Source organism: Homo sapiens, chromosome 7 (assembly GCF_000001405.40).
Source record: "Homo sapiens chromosome 7, GRCh38.p14 Primary Assembly".
NCBI lineage: Eukaryota > Metazoa > Chordata > Mammalia > Primates > Hominidae > Homo > Homo sapiens.
This window is the reverse complement of record NC_000007.14, coordinates 132661860-132683067: the sequence shown is the minus strand read 5'-3', so window position 1 is coordinate 132683067 and position 21208 is coordinate 132661860. Positions and strand designations below refer to the sequence as shown.

The 21208-nt window shown below is 44.2% G+C and overlaps 1 long non-coding RNA gene across 1 annotated transcript in view; it reads right to left on the bottom strand.

The window, feature by feature from the left end:
- Positions 1-21208, bottom strand: part of FLJ40288 (Putative uncharacterized protein) — a 79976-nt gene that overhangs the window by 45702 nt on the left and 13066 nt on the right. Inside the window, exon 3 of the long non-coding RNA NR_046323.1 lies at positions 20986-21077. This is a non-coding gene — a long non-coding RNA (Putative uncharacterized protein FLJ40288). The remainder of the gene's footprint in view (positions 1-20985; positions 21078-21208) is intronic.

Here is a 21208-nt window from a genome sequence, read left to right as displayed (position 1 = left end):
GTGACATAGTCACAGATTCTGGGGATTAGCACATGGACATCTCTCGGGAGGGCCATCATTGCCTACCACAGTGTGCAGAAATTGAAGCCTTGTTCCTCAGAGCCCCTTCGTTTGGCTGAAATGTCTGGTGACCAGGATGGAGCCAGTTGTGATCAATATTTGCCGCCTGGGATGCTGACCATGGGTAGACGATGCTGAGGGACTGGCATCTGTGGGTGTCACTGCTGAGGTCTGTACCAGCTGGGATGGAAGGAGAGAGAAGCTTGCTGGATGGGAGCTGCCTTGAATCTCTTTCCTGAAAACAGTAGTGCCAGTGATAGTGCTGGACATTGGATAATGCTTTATGGTTTTCAAAGCCATGTTGAAACGGGTTAGCATGTAGCTGGTTGGACTGGAGGAAAGTAGATCCATGTGAGAGGAAAACTGGGACTCAAACTGGATCAGTGCTATCCCCCAGTGTCATTGATGGCTTTATGATGAGGGTCTAGACTTTAATTTCTAGTCCAAGGCTCTGTTCAGCAGGTAAAAGCATCTAGAGATGGTGTCAATAGATTGGCTGAGATAAGGGCTCAGCAGATCAGCTTGAGGGCTGCAAGGAACATCAGACAGCAGAGAACAGCATCGACCTCAGACTCCCTTGTAGTTCTCTGCTTTCTGCACTTCTGGCTTACTGCTGCAAGACAGGGTTTCAGTTGCTCCCTCATAGGGAATGTTTGTGTACCACCAGTCACACAGTCTTGCTGGGTCCTGCATTCTGCAATCACCCATATATGTTTGCAGGGCACTCGCTAGCCTAGTTTCTGCAAGCATCAGTTGTGACCAGCCTGAGAACAGAATCTGGGGCCTCAGGTTCACCTTTGCCACCTTCTAGTCAGCCGACTCTTGCCCAGTGTTCAAAGGTGAGCTTGTTGCATGTGGCAGAATGGACTTTCATGAGTCAGCAGACTCGGCCTTGCCACTTAGAACCTTCTGGGCCCAATCACACTGACCTAGACTGATGCTGGTGAATGTAGAGGCCTATGAGATCACAGGAAGTAAAAGCATTGTCCTAGATATCTCATCTAGAGAGGAACCAGTTCTATCTCTAGTATCACATCTGCATTATTTTTTTCACTGATGCTTTTATATTTTGGTTGGCAAGCTTTTATGAGTACAAACCACACTGTCCCATGTTGGACCCTTTGCCAGCATGTAGCCTGCCCACTAACTAGCTTGTACCCCATCTTCACCTCTACCCAGAGGCTGCAGCTACTCTTAACTAACTGGTCCCAAGGAGTGTGGAGAGGAGTTGAGAGAAATTGGCTCCAGAGTCTGGCAGCGGTGGTCTTGGGCAAGTTATTTTACTTGTTCAAGCCCTAATTTCTTCATCTGTAAAAGTGGGGCAATAATAATTGCAGGTATTTATTTGGTTTTATGTATTGGGAACTGGGCTAATTAGAATTACACATAGTTTTCAGGCATAGCTCATTTAATTCTCACAATAACGTTATGAGAATTAACATTACATGTCAACTTGGCTAGGCCATGGTGCCCAGGTATTTTGTCAAACACCAGTCTGGATGTTAGTGTGAAGGTATTTTTTTTAAAGATGTGATTAACCTTTAAATCAGAAGACTTTGAGTAAAGCAGATTATCCTCCATAATGTGGGTGGGCCTCATCCATTCAATTGATTTATCCCTCCAACATCTTATCTTGTTAGTTTCAGTCCATTGTTCTGGCCCAGACCTTTTTTTGAATCTTCACTCTGTCCTCCAGCATACTGGCTCTCCCATCTAGCTTTGGTTCGTCTATCAATTTGTTAAGCATGCCTCTTATGTCTTCACGTATCTGAGGATAAAATGTCAAAGAAGACAGACACATTGTATGGTTCTTTGGAGAAATGGACAAGCCTCTTGTGACGCAGCACTAGGGGCTTCTTTAATGTAAGAGAAAAGACTGAGGTCCCTCTAGAGGAAGGTTTTCTGCCTCCAGACTGCCCTCGCACACACATGTGCAACATCAGCTCCTGCCAGAACTTCCAGCCTGCTAGTCTGCCCTGCAAATTTCAGACGTGCCAGCACCACAATCATATGAGCCAATTCTTTAAGTAAATCTCTCTCTTTCTCACCTATTGGCTCTGCTTGTGTGGAAATCCCTAACTGATACAGACATTATGAGGCAAGGAATGTTATTATGTCAATGACATAGGTGAGGAGTGTTCCCCAACCCACACTCTCCACATTTCTCAGCCTCCCATGTGCTGAGATGGGTCATGTGACTAGCCTGGCCAATGGAATGTGGGCAGAGTGGCATAAGTCACTGCCCCTGCCTTGGAATTCCCCCACCTCTTTGCACTTAGGCTAAATGGAGAAGACCCAGTGGAGGCCTCTGAGAAGGAGCCACTAGATGAGAAGCCTCAGTCCCCAAACCATCTATAGGAGGTCACCTGTGGGATTGGACTGTGACATGAACAAGAAGTAAGCCTTTATGGTATTTGGCCACTTAGGTTTTGAAATCATTTGTTGTAGCAAATGGCCCACTCTGGCAATTCATTGTCCACCGTTGTCCAGGCAGGAAGGTGTAGCATCAGTACTAAAACTCAAGCGGCCTGGCTTGCCTACCTGCTCCCTTCCCTGCACTGCAGCTGCCTGTGGTGTTGTTGGGAGGGTTAAATGAGGTGGTGTGTGGTAGGTGTGGCACTTGGTAGGCCCCTCGTACATGATAATTATTAAGGCAGCAAGGGTTTTATTTGAGGCGTGGATTTGTGGTGCCTCTTGCACTATTGTTGTGGACAAAATGGAGTAGAGTAGGCTGAATGATGGCTTCTTCACTAGTTGAACAACTGTCCCCAAGATGTGTTGGTTAACAAGCCAGTGTCAACCAGGAAGTCCTTAGTGCTGGGTCAGGTCACAGGAGGTTTGTCCATTTCACCAAAGAACCATACAATGTGTCTGTCTTCTTTGACATTTTATCCTCAGATATGTGGAGACATAAGAGGCATGCTTAACAAATTGATAGATGAAGCAAAGCCAGATGGGAGAGCTAATTTGTTGGATGACAGAGTGAAGATTCAAAAAAGGTCTGGGCAGGCCAGAACAATGGACTGAAACTAACAAGATAAAATGTAGGAGGGATAAATCAAAGTCTTGCCTTTAGTTCAAAAACTAACCAAATGAGGATGAATAAGGACAGGATGAGGGAAGCTTAATGCCATAGCAGCTCATGGATGAAAGTCCTAGGGCTTTCATTGTCTATTAGCCTGTTATGAGTCAAGATACTGACACAGACTCTTTAAAGATGAAGGACACATAGGCTGCATTAATACAAGCATCATGCCCAGACCATAGTCATCCACTCAACAAATATATTCTGATTGCTTCCTGTGTGCTGGGCATTGTGCTGAGTGCTAGGGATGGAGCAATGAGTGAGACAGACCAACACTGCCCTCATGTCTCATGCAGCTGACAGTTAGGGACAGAATTATCCTGGGACCTACACCTAGATGGTAAAGGGCTTGAAAACCATGTGATATGAGGAGTGGTCCAAGGAACTAGTAATAATGAGATTTACGGAAGCTTTGGAAATATAAAGGGTCATCTCTTCTAACAAATGCTATATACTTCAGAGGGACAGAGAGGACTGATGGCTGAGAAAAGAGGGCTGAGCTTTGGTCTAGGCACTGCCGACATTTAGGCTAGGCACTGTATTCTTGCTCTTTCCGTGAGTCCTCACAACAGCTCTAGAAGGTAAATATGACTTCCTTATTTTGCAGATGAGAAAACAAAGGCTCAGAGAAGCTCATGTCATGTGGACATGCTCATAGAGCTGGCAAGTGGCTGAGAAAGGCTCCAAATCCTGTCTGTCTAAATTAAAAGCCCCAGGTTCTTTCCCGTTCACCACCCCGATGCAGATTTCACCTTAGCTTGAGGAAGACATTTCTAACAACTGCAGCTAAACATAAATGGACCACCTTGTGCTTCCTCCACTAGAAGTGTTTTGGCAGAGACTGGATAACAGTCTCCTGGGATTTCCCACAAGGGGCTTCTCCATCAGTGCCTGGGAGATGGATGGGGTGGGGGAGGTCAGGCTTGGGTGGCATAGCCTCTATGCCTTCATCTCTGGCCTCACTGGCTACATTCCAGCCACACTGGGCCCTGGGATCTCTTCAAACAGGCCATCTTCTTTCCCGTGGTAAGGCCTTTTCACACACCAACCCCACCACCCACTTCCCATAGTTAACTTCTGCTTATCTTTCTGGCTTTAACCAAAACTTTACTTTCTTCAGGAAGCTTTTCCTGATGCTCAACACTAGGTTAGATGCCCCTCTTAAAGGCTGTCCTGGCATACTGCCTATGCTGTCCGTGGAGCATGCAGCATGCTCCTCCTGCTGCCTGGCTCAATGTCTGTCTGAATTTCCCTGAGGACAGGGAAATTCCCTAAGGGTCTGCCTTTATTCTATCCTGTCCTCAGTTCCTAGCACACAGTAGGCACTCAAGAAAGGCTTGAAGAATTCCTGACATCCTCTAAGATCCGGTGATTATTTTGGTGCCCTGGGAATGGCCATCATCCATTGGGTTTTCACCTTGCCTCCTGCCTTCTCAGTGCTTGGCCATGCCTGGGACAAGGCTGGATGGGTCACAGTGGGATGTGTGGTGGGGATGGGTCAGAGAGCAGCAGTGGCCACTGGCCCCAACCCTGCAGGCTTCTAATGTGCTGGAATCCAGGTGAGTGATGGCTATGGAGCCAGGTCTGGCAGAGGAGGGGTAGTGAGCTGCCCCAGTGACCTCAGCGATTACCCGGGCCTCTGTGGATGCTGGGCTGCCTGGCATTTCCTCCCTCTTCCAGTATCCCCAGGGCCCTGGCCTCTTTGAATGTGGGGGCTGCTACTCATTATTCCTTCCTCTGTGCATCCCTAGCTTGACTTCCTGACCAGGAGGCAGCAGGGAGAGAAGGGGGTTAATGATGAGTGGGGAGGTGGAGGAAGGGAGGATGATGTCAGCCAGGCCGCAAGGCAGAGACTAAAGCCCCTAATTGCTCTTTTCCGTCTTGTCAGAAGTGCAGTGGCTGACTCCATAGTTACTGTAATAAAGGCCCATGGACAGGGAAGGCGGCCCACTAATGAGAGGGCCATTGTTCAGTGAAGAGGGAAGCAGGAGACAGGCCTATGGGGCCAGAGCCCTGCTCCCCAAAGGGAAGATGGAGAAAGTCCCTGGGTCACCTGGCCTGGGCCATGAGCAGGGTCATGAAGGTTGTGGTAAAGTTGCATTTTAAATGCCTTCAGGAAAGAGCAGCTAGTCCTCTCTGTGACACACAGATTTCCAGGACCTCACTGGGAGAATGATCTGAGGGAAAGAGCCTGGGCCCTGATGGCTGTGTTATTTGGTTAACAAGTGGGATGACTTCCATCAGGGGGCAGATTTTGAGAAGGCATTATGATTGCTGGGAATCACCCTGAATATGGGGTCATTCCATCTTCTGTATAAACGTGTCCTGATTACTCTCAATTGAGCAATTCTTCCAGAACCTACCTCAGAATCAGAGACTCCCAGGAGCAGGAGGGAGGGCTGTCCATCTACCTATAACTAGTTTTTTTTTTTTTTTTTTTTTGAGCAATGCAGAGGGATTACTCCATGTCCTCGCCAGGCCGGAGGCTCTGCCACCTCCTCAGTCCCCTGCAGGCCGAGGATTCAGTGGACACTGTCACACAGCTATGCATGGGCATCCCCTCAGCCAGTTCATTTCCATGTGCCTGAGAGGATCCTGTACAAAGCTGTCGAGCTTGGGTCCCCACCCTTGATTATCCACACCTGAATTATCATCTTCTCTCTCCTCCTCTTGGAAAACTTGCCTCCTGCCTTCTGCAGGAAAGATACCCAGATCAATAACATGTGGTCTGTCTGTGCAATGGAATATTACTCAACCTCTAAAAGGAAGGAAATCCTAGCTGGGTGTGATGGCATGCATCTGTAGTTCCCGCTACTCGGGAGGCTGAGATGGGAGGATCACTTGAGCTCAGGAGGTCAAGGTGGCAGTGATTTGTGATTGTGCCACTGCATGATCACACTCCAGCCTGGGCAGGAGAGTGAGACCCTATCTCAGGAAAAAAAAGGAAGGAAATTTTGATACATGCTACAACATGAATGAAACTTGGGGACATTCTGCGAAGTAAAATAAGCCAGTCTCAAAAAAGCAAATACTGAAAGATGTGACTCACATGAGGTCCCTTGAGTAGTCAGATCCACAGAGACAGAAAGTAGAATGGGGGCTGCCAGGGGCTGGGGGCGGAGAGTGGAGAGTTAGTGGAGTAATGGGCACAGAGTTTCAGTCTGGGAAGATGAATAGAGTTCTGGCAATGGCTGCCTAACATCATGAATGTATTTAATGCCACTGAACTGTATACTTAAAAATGGTTCCTGCTCCTGAATGAGTACTGGGTACATAATGAAATGAAGGCAGAAATAAAGATGTTTTTTAAAACCAACGAGAACAAAGACACAACATACCAGAATCTCTGGGACACCTTCAAAGCAGTGTGTAGAGGGAAATTTATAGCACTAAATGCCCACACGAGAAAGCAGGAAAGATCCAAAATTGACACCCTAACATCACAATTAAAAGAACTAGAAAAGCAAGAGCAAACACATTCAAAAGCTAGCAGAAGGCAAGAAATAACTAAAATCAGAGCAGAACTGAAGGAAATAGAGACAAAAAAAACCCTTCAAAAAATCAATGAATCCAGGAGCTGGTTTTTTGAAAACATCAACAAAATTGATAGACCGCTACCAAGACTAATAAAGAAGAAAAGAGAGAAGAATCAAATAGATGCAATAAAAAATGATAATGGGGATATCACCACTGATCCCACAGAAATACAAACTACCATCAGAGAATACTATAAACACCTCTATGCAAATAAACTAGAAAATCGAGAAGAAATGGATAAATTCCTTGACACATACATCCTCCCAAGACTAAACTAGGAAGAAGTTGAATCTCTGAATAGACCAATAACAGGCTCTGAAATTGAGGCAATAATCAATAGCTTACCAACCAAAAAAAGCCCAGGACCAGACAGATTCACAGCTGAATTCTACCAGACATACAAAGAGGAGCTGGTACCTTTCCTTCTGAAACTATTCCAATCAATAGAAAAAGAGGGAATCCTCCCTAACTCATTTTATGAGGCCAGCATCATCCTGATACAAAAGCCTGGCAGAGACACAGCCAAAAAAGAGAATTTTAGACCAATATCCTTGATGAACACTGATGCAAAAATCCTCAATAAAATACTGGCAAACTGAATCCAGCAGCACATCAAAAAGCTTATCCACCGATCAAGTGGGCTTCATCCCTGGGATGCAAGGCTGGTTCAACATATGCAAATCAATAAATGTAATCCAGCATGTAAACAGAACCAAAGACAAAAACCACATGATTATCTCAGTAGATGCAGAAAAGGCCTTTGACAAAATTCAACAACCCTTCATGCTAAAAACTCTCAATAAATTAGGTATTGATGGGACATATCTCAAAACAATAAGAGCTATCTATGACAGACCCACAGCCAATATCATACTGAATGGGCAAAAACTGGAAGCATTCCCTTTGAAAACTGGCACAAGACAGGGATGCCCTCTCTCACCACTCCTATTCAACATAGCGTTGGAAGTTCTGGCCAGGGCAATCAGGCAGGAGAAGGAAATAAAGGGTATTCAATTAGGAAAAGAGGAAGTCAGATTATCCCTGTTTGCAGATGACATGATTGTATATCTAGAAAACCCCACTGTCTCAGCCCAAAATCTCCTTAAGCTGATAAGCAACTTCAGCAAAGTCTCAGGATACAAAATCAATGTACAAAAATCACAAGCATTCTTATACACCAATAACAGACAAACAGAGAGCCAAATCATGAGTGAACTCCCATTCACAATTGCTTCAAAGAGAATAAAATACCTAGGAATCCAACTTACAAGGGATGTGAAGGACCTCTTCAAGGAGAAGTACAAACAACTGCTCAATGAAATAAAAGAGGATACAAAGAAATGGAAGAACATTCCATGCTCATGGGTAGGAAGAATCAATATCGTGAAAATGGCCATACTGCCCAAGGTAATTTATAGATTCAATGCCATCCCCATCAAGCTACCAATGACTTTCTTCACAGAATTGGAAAAAACTACTTTAAAGTTCATATGGAACCAAAAAAGAGCCCGCATCGCCAAGTCAATCCTAAGCCAAAAGAACAAAGCTGGAGGCATCACGCTACCTGACTTCAAACTATACTACAAGGCTAACCAAAACAGCATGGTATTGGTACCAAAACAGAGATATAGACCAATGGAACAGAACAGAGCCCTCAGAAATAACGCCGCATATCTACAACTATCTGATCTTTGACAAACCTGAGAAAAACAAGCAATGGGGAAAGGATTCCCTATTTAATAAATGGTGCTGGGAAAACTGGCTAGCCATATGTAGAAAGCTGAAACTGGATCCCTTCCTTACACCTTATACAAAAATTAATTCAAGATGGATTAAAGACTTAAACGTTAGACCTAAAACCATAAAAACCCTAGAAGAAAACCTAGGCAGTACCATTCAGGACATAGGCATGGGCAAGAACTTCATGTCTAAAACACCAAAAGCAATGGCAACAAAAGCCAAAATTGACAAATGGGATCTAATTAAACTAAAGAGCTTCTGCACATCAAAAGAAACTACCATCAGAGTGAACAGGCAACCTACAGAATGGGAGAAAATTTTCACCACCTACTCATCTGACAAAGGGCTAATATCCAGAATCTACAATGAACTCAAACAAATTTACAAGAAAAAACCAAACAACCCCATCAAAAAGTGGGCAAAGGATATGAACAGACACTTCTCAAAAGAAGACATTTATGCAGCCAAAAAACACATGAAAAAATGCTCATCATCACTGGCCATCAGAGAAATGCAAATAAAAACCACAATGAGATACCATCTCACACCAGTTAGAATGGTGATCATTAAAAAGTCAGGAAACAACAGGTGCTGGAGAGGATGTGGAGAAATAGGAACACTTTTACACTGTTGGTGGGACTGTAAACTAGTTCAACCATTGTGGAAGTCAGTGTGGCTATTCCTCAGGGATCTAGTACTAGAAATACCATTTGACCCAGCCATCCCATTACTGGGTATATACCCAAAGGAATATAAATCATGCTGCTATAAAGACACATGCACACGTATGTTTAATGCGGCACTATTCACAATAGCAAAGACATGGAACCAACCCAAATGTCCAACAGTGATAGACTGGATTAAGAAAATATGGCACATATACACCATGGAATACTATGCAGCCATAAAAAATGATGAGTTCATGTCCTTTGTAGGGACATGGATGAAACTGGAAACCATCATTCTCAGCAAACTATCGCAAGGACAAAAAACCAAACACCACGTGTTCTCACTCATAGGTGGGAATTGAACAATGAGAACACATGGACACAGGAAGGGGAACATCACACACTGGGGCCTGTTGTGGGGTGGGGGTAGGGGGTAGGGGTAGCATTAGGAGATATACCTAATGCTAAATGGCTAGTTAATGGGTGCAGCACACCAACATGGCACATGTATACATATGTAACAAACCTGCACGTTGTGCACATGTACCCTAAAACTTAAAGTATAATAATAATTAAAAAAAATTGGTTAAGATCATACATTTTATGGTATGCTTATTTTGGCACAATAAAAAAAAGTCTTCCTGACTTCTCTCACCCTTTTTTAAAACATCTATAGAACCTGCCTCTTGAATCCCCCAAAGGAGAAGTCTTGCCCCTTCTTCTAGATTGTGGTCGCAGCAGAGACTGTATTTGTCTTGTATTCACAACAGGGCTGAGTACTTAGTATTCAGGACATACTTGCTGCATTGGGTTAAATGGAATTCACATCTGCATCCTCACCAGAAATCTAGACTTTTCACTTTGGGTGCTTGGGGTGGCCCAAGTTTATACCAAACAAGTTGAACTGCTTAAGTACTTAGTAAGGCTCCTGGAACCCCAGTACCTAGAGCTACCATAGAAGAGGAAAACATGATGTCATTTCAGGAGCAGCTGCCACCTGAGGACAGGAAGGAGGGCCAGGGTATGGTCCCCAGCTGTATCTTCCAAGGCCAGGTCTGTGAGGAAGTGGTTCTGTGGTCAGGTAGCTTTGGGAAGTGGCGCAAGCCAGGTTGATACAGCAGGAATTCTCTGATCCTTTAAATATGAGTGTGCCAAGAGGCCCACGTGGTGTGTGCTGCTTTGCACATGCATATCACCCCACAGTCCCTTTAGGGAAAACCATCTCCCAGGAGCTGAGCTTCATGGATCAGCCTCAGGGAACTTCCTGCGTGTGGGCTCCCTATAGATGACTGAAGGGTCCATACATCCTCACATTGGATCAGGTCCTGGAGGTCTGAACATCTTGGGCATGCCCAGTTCCTCCCCTTACCCTTCTTGGTGCCATCTGGTCATCCTGTCCCGGCTCACACCGGGATAGGAGCTGTAGGCTCTGCCCATGTCCAGGGCAGCCTCTTCCTGCTCCCAGCCCTATCCCTTCCCATCTGAAGGCTCATTTATCTTGTCTTCTGTCCTTCTTCTGTTTCCTTTTACACCCCACTCTGGCCCAAGGGCTATAATTTATTAACAATCCCACATCTCCGCCCCGCTGCTCTGAGTCACTGATCCCATCCATATTCAGTCGTGCATTATTTAAATCCAAAAAATGTTCTGGGCTTGAAATGAACAGGGAGAGACTCATTAATATGGGTCTTATAGATGTATTTTTTCCAACTCTTTGGAACTTCAGAGGGCTCTGCGACCATTATCCCAAATAGCTCTTTCTTCCTTTGAAGAGCAGAGGCCCACAGGCGGCCCAGTGGGTTGATGTTGGGAGGGCTGTGGCTGTGGTATCGCATCGGTACCAACCCTGCCACACAGGGAGGGCTGCGGGGAAGGGGGGATCGGCATGTGGGTCCTGGCTTTGCCACTGGCTGCGCATGCTGTCCCAGGGAGTCTCTTCCTCTCTCTGGGCCTGGTGTCCTCTTCTGTAAAGCAAGGCATCAGCCACATGGCTTCCCAGGTCCCTCCGAGTTGCTCATGTGCTCTGTGAAATGCATCCCTGCCTCTCCGCCGCACCGAAGAGGAAAAGAGTTAAAGTCAAGCAAATCACACTTGTCGACTCATATATCTTTCAAACACCTCTTAAAAGTCAAAAGAGCAGACCTATCACAAAGTGAGTTCATCCTTTTAAATCATTTCATTGCAATAGGAAACCTGAGAATGCCCAATACAGAAACTGTTTAAATCCATTGTGTTTATACAGCAGCTTTATTTCCGAAGTGCTTGAAATACATTTTCATATTTGGTCTTTGCAATCTATTTACAGAAGGTGAGTTGGGGAGAGTGAGTATTGCAGTTTACAGATCAGGCACTGAAGCCCAGAGAGACGAAATGCCTTCCTCTAAGCCACCAAGCTGCACAGTGGCAGGGGGCTGTGACATGGACTCAACGTTTCCTGGAAATTTCTCCACCAGGATACCCCCCCAAGTTCTTGGGCTTCACCTGATAAGTGGAAGCATCTCTTCCTCTCCCAAGCCTTTGTCATCCTCCTGGTCAGTCCCACCCAGGCTCATCTAGGCCTGAAATCTGGCCATCAGCCTCACTTTTGGGACTTTGTCATAATCCACATCCAATCAAGCACCAACTCATTCTCCTAAGAATTCCCTAAAACCTTTCGCTTTTCTACACTCTAAAGTCAACTGCCCTAGGTCAGACCTTCATTATGTCTCATCTCATCTGGACTGGGCTTTTTTTTTTTTTTAATCACAACTTCCTAAGTGGTCTCCTTGTTCCCAGGCTCCCTCAAACCCCTTCTCCAAAAATGCAAATCTGGCCACATCCACCCTCTTCCCCGCCCCTCCCACACTAGTTTGAAGCCCTTCATTGGCACTCATGATTTATTGAATAGCCTGTATTTTCTAGCATGGTGTCTGGGAACGGCTGATCTCATCTGGCCCATCTATCTGCACCACACCTTATGTTTTCCTAATACTGGGCCAACAGTAATTCTCCAAATAAGCCATACAATTTTCTACCTTCACGCTTTGGCTTGTGCTGTTTTCTCTGCCTCAAACAATGAGTGCAGTCCTGTTTGCCTATTCTTGGCTAATTCCTGGTCCTAATCTTTCAGAACTCAGCTCACGTGATGCCATGTGGCTGGATTAGCCACTCTGGCTCGTCTAATACCTTGTACCCATTTCCAACATGGAATCTTCTGTGTTATAGGTAGAAATAATCTGTTTACCTATTTATCTCCACAGTAAGACTTTTGTTTCTTGAGAGCAGGAACAAAATCTTATTCATTTTTATAGCTTCAGTGCTACAGCTACAAAGCAGAACAAAGTATGTGTGTGGTAGGGTTTGAAGGAAAACAACATCTTAGATTTTATTCTCAGAGTAGTGGAGGGGGAGAAAATGCCTAAGGATGTAGGATGTCCTAGTAAAGATGTTGTTTCTTCTTCTTTGTGCTGATTCTGGGCGTCTCTACCTAAGATACTTCACTAAGGTATAGATGCTTGGTCAAGGTCAACAATATCTGTTCAACACTGTCTCTAGTTCTGAGTCCAAGACTGTGACTCCAGCCCTAAAAAGAGCTATTTACTTGGCTTAGAGGAACCTTCTATTCCAAAGCCACAGATATTCCTGTGATCCTCGGCAGTCATCTTGGAAATTACTGTCATTGGCTCACAAGGAAGAGCTGGTGACAGGTCATGCAGACACCAAGGCAAACCCATTCTTCCTCCTTGTACAGGGGAGGAGAAAAAACTCCAAGGAAACCTTCAGCATCACTGTTTGCTTCCCAGCAGTGGCGGTAGAGGAAGCGGGGGTCAGAGGGCAAGTACCATTTCAGGGAAACATGTCTCTCTCTGTGTGTGTGTGTGTGTGTGAGAGAGAGAGAGAGAGAGAGAGAGAGATACTTGTTTTCTCTGCTGCCTAGGGAGACTGAATAAGTGTTGGGACAGAGAGGCAACAGCCAACGTTGACCAGAAGTAGCAATTGGATTTCCCTCCCATGAGGACACTTCATCCCTGTCTATCCATGGGCCTAACAAAGCAATCACTGTCTCCCACTGTTTCAACCTTTTACTCAATCACCTAATGATTTCTCAGGTCTGGGTGGCATGGCCACAGCCCTGTATTAGCACAGAGCATAATTACCCCCCCTATTCCTTGTGACTGTGCCTCCTATTTACTGCCCTTAAAAAGACCAAATTCCACCCCTCTTCTTGCTGTGGGCATAAAAAGGACCTCGGCCTCTTATCACTACCTGGGGCCTTGAAGCAGCCAGCCATAAACTGCAATATCTGCTTGTTTATTCCTGTTCATTCAATTGGCTCCAAATTGCTCTGAACAAATTCTTGGGCTGCAGAAGAAGCTGTGCAGGCCTATTTTCATTAGCGTGGACACTGAGCAGGCAGAGAGCAAGAGAAAAGAGGAAAGGAGAGGACACTGCAGCTGGGATTTTCTCTACTCCCCACCCCTACCTTACCCCTCAGCTCTTCTGGGCTCACATTGCCCCTCTGTGCAGGAAACAGGCCACTCCAGCGTGCCTGTGCCTGAGCCTTCTGCTGAGAACCCGGATCTTATTGACACAGACTCACCCCCATTAAATGTATAACTTAATGAGTCCATGATAGGAGGGAGAGCTAAACCTGTCTTCCCCTCTGGCAAAGCTGTACTTGCTGGAGAAGATGGCACTATCTGACCATCTTTTATCTTTCCCAGGGAGCTGGAGAAGCTTGGTCAGGGGGAGACAGGGTCCCAGTGTGACCAGTTGAGCAGGGATGCAGGATCAGCTTTACAATGATCTTAACACATTGATATAGTTTGGATCTGTGTCCCAACCAAATCTCATGTTCAACTGTAATCTCCAATGTTGGAGGTGGGGCTGGTGGGAGGTGACTGGATCGTGGGAGTGGTTTCTCATGAATTGTTTAGTGCCATCCTCTTGGTACTGTTTTTGGGATAGTGAGTGATCTTGCAAGATATGATTTTTAAAAGTGTGTAGTGCCTCCTCCATCTCTCTCTTGCTCCTGCTCCTTCCATGGGAGACACCTCTTCCCCCTTCACCTTCTGCCATGATTGTAAGCTTCCTGAGGCCTCCCCAGAAGCAGATGCCTATGTAATGCTCCCTGTACAGCCTGCAGAACCGTGAGTCAATTAAACCTCTTTTCTTTATAAATTACCCAGTCTCAGGTAGCTCTTTATAGCAAGGCAAGAATGGCCTGATACACACATTGATGATTTTCCCCTCTTATTATCAACACTGTCCCCATGGGACCACCTCCTCCCAGCACCCTGGGGCTGAAAGAAGGATTCTGAGGTCAAGACATTTGGTTTCCCTGCCTTGTGTTCTTTCTTGATTTCCTGCCTGCTGCATTTACAGTTTGGAAGTTCTCAGGCAGTCTGATCTGAATCTTCCTTATATAACGAAAGCCTATGTCTTTTTTGTTTGTCTTCCCTTGGGGTGTCTATGCCTATAACTGTTTTGAAACTGGAAGTCAGTTATGAAAGTCTTGTCTCATTTCCCTCAGCCTCATGTTCTCCAGGCCAAATCTTCCCAATTCCAAGAGTCCCAGCATCATGTAACTTAAGGATCAGAAGGATGCCTGTTAACCAACTCTCCCACTTGACTTTATTACCCCTTCTACACATAAGTGACTTCCTTCAGATACTGCCCTATTTATCTGCAAGATTTTTTTAAAATGTGGGTGGTCCACTTCTATTTCTAACAGCCCATGTGGTTCTGGGGGCTGAAATGAAAACTTTAAAGAGGGGTTCTTGGTCTTCCCAGCTTTTTTTCTGGAGTACTGGAATGGAAAAACATTAACCTGACTCATTTTTCTCTTTCCTTAAGGACAGGGCAAAGGGGATGAGGTTTAGTGGGACTGTGGGTTTTCAGCATCTGGTTCCCATCTTTCAGCTTCAGGAAGGAGGCCTGCCCAGAGGAGGTGGGGTGTGGTAGGAAGAATAATTGGTTTGTGTCCAGGATGCATGAATTCTAGGTATAATTCTCCCAACTCTAGCTGGGTAACCTTGAACAAGTTGATTTACTTCTCTGGTTCTCAGCTTCCCTGTCTATAAAGTGAGGAAACTGGAGCAAAGGAATTCTAAAGTCCTCTCTAGTTCTGACATTTCTGAGTGAAGAGCCTTCTAGAGGAATGACTAGAGGGTGAGGGACACTGGCGATCCAGGACAGTGCTGCTGAAGACACCTGGGCCAAATGAGGCTTCAATGAAATAAGCAAGAGAATGTGATGGACAGGAAACAGGGTGGTGGTATTGACTCGGAGGGCTGGTGCAAGGTGTGTGGCATGGGTGGTCAGGCCCACATGTGCTGGGGAGTGTCAATCTCCTTTTTGTTCTTGTAGAAGCTGCTGCACCCATCCATGGTGCTCTTCATGAAATTGACTTCCGTCTTTCTCCTGTACCCATAGCTCATCTTTGAAGTAGGTTGCTTCAGATTTTTCATATCATCCAAGAACTACTGTGTTTTCCAGAGTTTCTCTCCATCTGGTCAGTCGGCAGGCAAAGAAACCCATCTAAAGGCTAGGATCATCTCACAGATAGATAATAAAACCTGCCAGCTTCAAGCGAGCCTTTTCTAACAAAAGAATCCAATAACCAATATTTCCCACTGCCTTTTCTCTGTTAATGCTATGGAAATGGTGCATTAGATACAGGAGATGGAGTGGTTCGAAGAAGGATAAAAAAATCTGTTTTTCTGTGTCTGTAAACATTTTCTCCTTGAATTATTTGACATGGTTGGATGTTTTAATGCCTTGGGCCCTGGCAAGTGGAGTGTCCACTGTAGCAGGCTCATTTCCCTGTCTCCTTCTCCCCAGGCTCAGCCAATTGCCCCAGCTAACAGAGAAAATGTAGCTTTCTTGTAGTGATGGAGGCTGGAGCAGGCATGGAGCCCTGCAGCTTGCCAGATAGTGCTGGGCAGTGCCACCATCTGAAACAAGCTCCAGAGGCAAAGGCAGGGGAGAGACCAGGTTGACTCATGGCCATTTCTCAGAGCCATAAGATTTCCAGGCAGCTGAGCCAGCTTTGGCTGGACAGTCAGGAACAAGGCCTGGCCAGAGGGCTGAGGGTGGCATTTCTGGTCCCTGGTCTCAGCGCCATGCTCTGGGCATTGTGGCTCAGGACTGTTAGGGCAAGCTGCTTTGTCAGTGTCCCCAGATCATTTGCCTTCTCTCTCCTTTTCCCCGAGAACATTCTGCCAACTACTAAAATTGCAAAAGACTGAGCACAGATGAATCCTTCTATAATTTCCTGGTGTCTGGATCAATGTAGCTCACATGATATGTGACCTTGAACAAATCATTCTTGTTTTTTGTAAAGTGAGGCCATCACATACCTGGCTGCTGCCTGCATCCCCCCTCTGCACTGTACAGAAAGGGTCATGGACCTGGAATGAGGCATCTTGGTTTCAGTTTCAGTTTCCGTTTTAACAATGCCACATAACAGCAAGCTTGTGACATCAAGCAACACTTTTAACTTCTATAAGCTTCAATTTCTTTATCTGTGAGATGGGTTTAATATTTGCCATGACTATAGGGTTTTGGAATCAAATGAGTTAACAGTGCTTTGCCAGAGGTGAAGATCTGTACAAGGGTAAAGTAGTGCTAATGATATAGACATGTGTAGCAAGTTTCATGTGAAATCCTTTGACGTCATCATCAGAAAGGATGTGTATAGGGGAGCGGCCATTGGAAGTGCTGTGTTGAGCAAGGAGATGAGCATGTCAGACCATAGTGCTCAGAGCTCCATGCCATCATTCACTTAACCATCTGAGAAATGATGAATCATTGGGGCTGCCCAATCCCTTACTTGTCATTCCTCAAGCCATGCCTATGAGGACATTTTGGGGAAGACAGAAGAGAAGAGAATAGGGAAGGACCATGAAGTGAGGGGGGCAGGAGCCCAAGCTTCTAGGTCCTGGAGATTGGCACCATCTAGTCCCTATCCTGGTGATCTTCCGAATCCATCAGCAGCTTCTCCAGGCAGGCCTTAAGCTAAAGGTAGGATTCACTTCCTAAAAAGGCTTATTCACTTCTTAAAAAGGGGACTAACTGGGTCATGGGAACCATCAAGACTTTGACTAGGGTTGACCAACTTTGAGCTAATTCATTGGAGAAAGCCTCATGGGTTGTGGATATTTCATGTGAAAAAAGAACCAAGCTAAGGGCCTGTGCATGAACAGAATTGCTTTTTAAGACATTATAGCATTGCTAGTGCTTGCCTTTGCCTTATCATTCAAGTGTGTCTAGGCCTGATCTATATCACATGGATAGGTATCTAGATTATATTTTAAAATATTCTGGGATAGGAGATTCCAAAATAGCCCTTGGCAAGCTACATAAGTATTAGCAAATTTAGCAATCCAGAGGCCTGGATCCACATCTCATTTTAGACTGTAGAAGAGGATATTCTTGAGTTTCCAGGAAGCAAGAAAAAAAGTTTATTGACCTCTCTTTGAAGATATACTATTATTTTTATTGAAATTTGTTCTCAAGTCTATTAATGTCAAGAGTTGTGAAGGGTCTGAGATTTTACTTTACATAAAATGTAATAGTTAGCCTGTTATTGTTCAAGTTGGTGGAAGACATGAGATTCCTGGATCAGAGATGAAAGACTTTATTACTCGATCATGGTGGATAAACTTTTTGATGTGCTGCTGGATTCGGTTTGCCAGTATTTTATTGAGGATTTTTGCATCAATGTTCATCAAGGATATTGGTCTAGAATTCTCTTTTTTGGTTGTGTCTCTGCCAGGCTTTGGTATCAGGATGATGCTGGCCTCATAAAATGAGTTAGGGAGGATTCCCTCTTTTTCTATTGATTGGAATAGTTTCAGAAGGAATGGTACCAGTTCCTCCTTGTACCTCTGGTAGAATTCGGCTGTGAATCCATCTGGTCCTGGACTCTTTTTGGTTGGTAAGCTATTGATTATTGCCACAATTTCAGGTCCTGTTATTGGTCTATTCAGAGATTCAACTTCTTCCTGGTTTAGTCTTGGGAGAGTGTATGTGTCGAGGAATTTATCCATTTCTTCTAGATTTTCTAGTTTATTTGCATAGAGGTGTTTGTAGTATTCTCTGATGGTAGTTTGTATTTCTGTGGGATCGGTGGTGATATCCCCCTTATCATTTTTTGTTGTGTCTATTTGATTCTTCTCTCTTTTTTTCTTTATTAGTCTTGCTAGCGGTCTATCAATTTTGTTGATGTTTTCAAAAAACCAGCTCCTGGATTCATTAATTTTTTGAAGGGTTTTTTTTTGTCTCTATTTCCTTCAGTTCTGCTCTGATTTTAGTTATTTCTTGCCTTCTGCTAGCTTTTGAATGTGTTTGCTCTTGCTTTTCTAGTTCTTTTAATTGTGATGTTAAGGTGTCAATTTTGGATCTTTCCTGCTTTCTCGTGTGGGCATTTAGTGCTATAAATTTCCCTCTACACACTGCTTTGAAGGTGTCCCAGAGATTCTGGTATGTTGTGTCTTTGTTCTCGTTGGTTTCATCCCTGGGATGCAAGTCTGGTTCAATATATGCAAATCAATAAATGTAATCCAGCATATAAACAGAACCAAAGACAAAAACCACATGATTATCTCAATAGATGCAGAAAAGACTTTTGACAAAATTCAACAACACTTCATGCTAAAAACTCTCAATAAATTAGATATTGATGGGACGTATCTCAAAATAATAAGAGCTATCTATGACAGACCCACAGCCAGTATCATACTGAATGGGCAAAAACGGGAAGCGTTCCCTTTGAAAACTGGCAGGGATGCCCTCTCTCACCACTCCTATTCAACATAGTGTTGGAAGTTCTGGCCAGGGCAATTAGGCAGGAGAAGGAAATAAAGGGTATTCAATTAGGAAAAGAGGAAGTCAAATTGTCCCTGTTTGCAGATGACATGATTGTATATCTAGAAAACCCCACTGTCTCAGCCCAAAATCTCCTTAAGTGGATAAGCAACTTCAGCAAAGTCTCAGGATACAAAATCAATGTACAAAAATCACAAGCATTCTTATACACCAATAACAGACAAACAGAGAGCCAAATCATGAGTGAACTCCCATTCACAATTGCTTCAAAGAGAATAAAATACCTAGGAATCCAACTTACAAGGGATGTGAAGGACCTCTTCAAGGGGAACTACAAACCACTGCTCAATGAAATAAAAGAGGATACAAAGAAATGGAAGAACATTCCATGCTCATGGGTAGGAAGAATCAATATTGTGAAAATGGCCATACTGCCCAAGGTAATTTATAGATTCAATGCCATCCCCATCAAGCTACCAATGACTTTCTTCACAGAATTGGTAAAATCTACTTTAAAGTTTATATGGAACCAAAAAAGAGCCCGCATCGCCAAGTCAATCCTAAGCCAAAAGAACAAAGCTGGAGGCATCACGCTACCTGACTTCAAACTATACTACAAGGCTACAGTAACCAAAACAGCATGGTACTGGTACCAAAACAGAGATATAGATCAATGGAACAGAACAGAGCCCTCAGAAATAACGCCGCATATCTACAACTATCTGATCTTTGACAAACCTGAGAAAAACAAGCTATGGGGAAAGGATTCCCTATTTAATAAATAGTGCTGGGAAAACTGGCTAGCCATATGTAGAAAGCTGAAACTGGATCCCTTCCTTACACCTTATACAAAAATTAATTCAAGATGGATTAAAGACTTAAACGTTAGACCTAAAACCATAAAAACCCTAGAAGAAAACCTAGGCATTACCATTCAGGACATAGGCATGGGCAAGAACTTCATGTCTAAAACACCAAAAGCAATGGCAACAAAAGCCAAAATTGACAAATGGGATCTAATTAAACTAAAGAGCTTCTGCACAGCAAAAGAAACTACCATCAGAGTGAACAGGCAACCTACAGAATGGGAGAAAATTTTCACCACCTACTCATCTGACAAAGGGCTAATATCCAGAATCTACAATGAACTCAAACAAATTTACAAGAAAAAACCAAACAACCCCATCAAAAAGTGGGCAAAGGATATGAACAGACACTTCTCAAAAGAAGACATTTATGCAGCCAAAAAACACATGAAAAAATGCTCATCATCACTGGCCATCAGAGAAATGCAAATAAAAACCACAATGAGATACCATCTCACACCAGTTAGAATGGCAATCATTAAAACGTCAGGAAACAACGGGTGCTGGAGAGGATGTGGAGAAATCGGAACATTTTTACACTGTTGGTGGGGCTGTAAACTAGTTCAACCATTGTGGAAGTCAGTGTGGCGATTCCTCAGGGATCTAGTACTAGAAATACCATTTGACCCAGCCATCCCATTACTGAGTATATACCCAAAGGATTATAAATCATGCTGCTATAAAGACACATGCACACGTATGTTTAATGCGGCACTATTCACAATAGCAAAGACTTGGAACCAACCCAAATGACCAACAATGATAGACTGGATTAAGAAAATGTGGCACTATACACCATGGAACACTATGCAGCCATAAAAAATGATGAGTTCATGTCCTTTGTAGGGACATGGATGAAATTGGAAATCATCATTCTCAGCAAACTATCGCAAGGACAAAAAACCAAACACTGCATGTTCTCACTCATAGATGGGAATTGAACAATGAGAACACATGGACACAGGAAGGGGAACATCACACTCTGGGGACTGTGGTGGGGTCGGGGGAGGGGGGAGGGATAGCATGAGGAGATATACCTAATGCTAAATGACGAGTTAATGGGTGCAGCACACCAGCATGGCACATGTATACATATGTAACTAACCTGCACATTGTGCACATGTACCCTAAAACTTAAAGTATAATAATAATAAAAAAAAATAAGTAAATTTATTAAGTCCTGCCCCCCCGCAAAAAAAAAAAAGACTTTATTACTCACAGCAAAAGCAGTAGCCAAGTTGTCAGCTTATTTGTGTTGGTTCCCTGGACCCAGTTCCCACAAGGTGGGAATGAAGATGGCCAGATAACAACCTGTACACAGAGCAAGTTTTATTGTAAGAGAGAAACCCCGAGCTTAGAGAATCCAAATCTTTTCTAATGGGCAGTAAACATTCCTGTTCTTCACTCTGGAGTGAGACCCCATCTTATCTTCCAGGGATGTT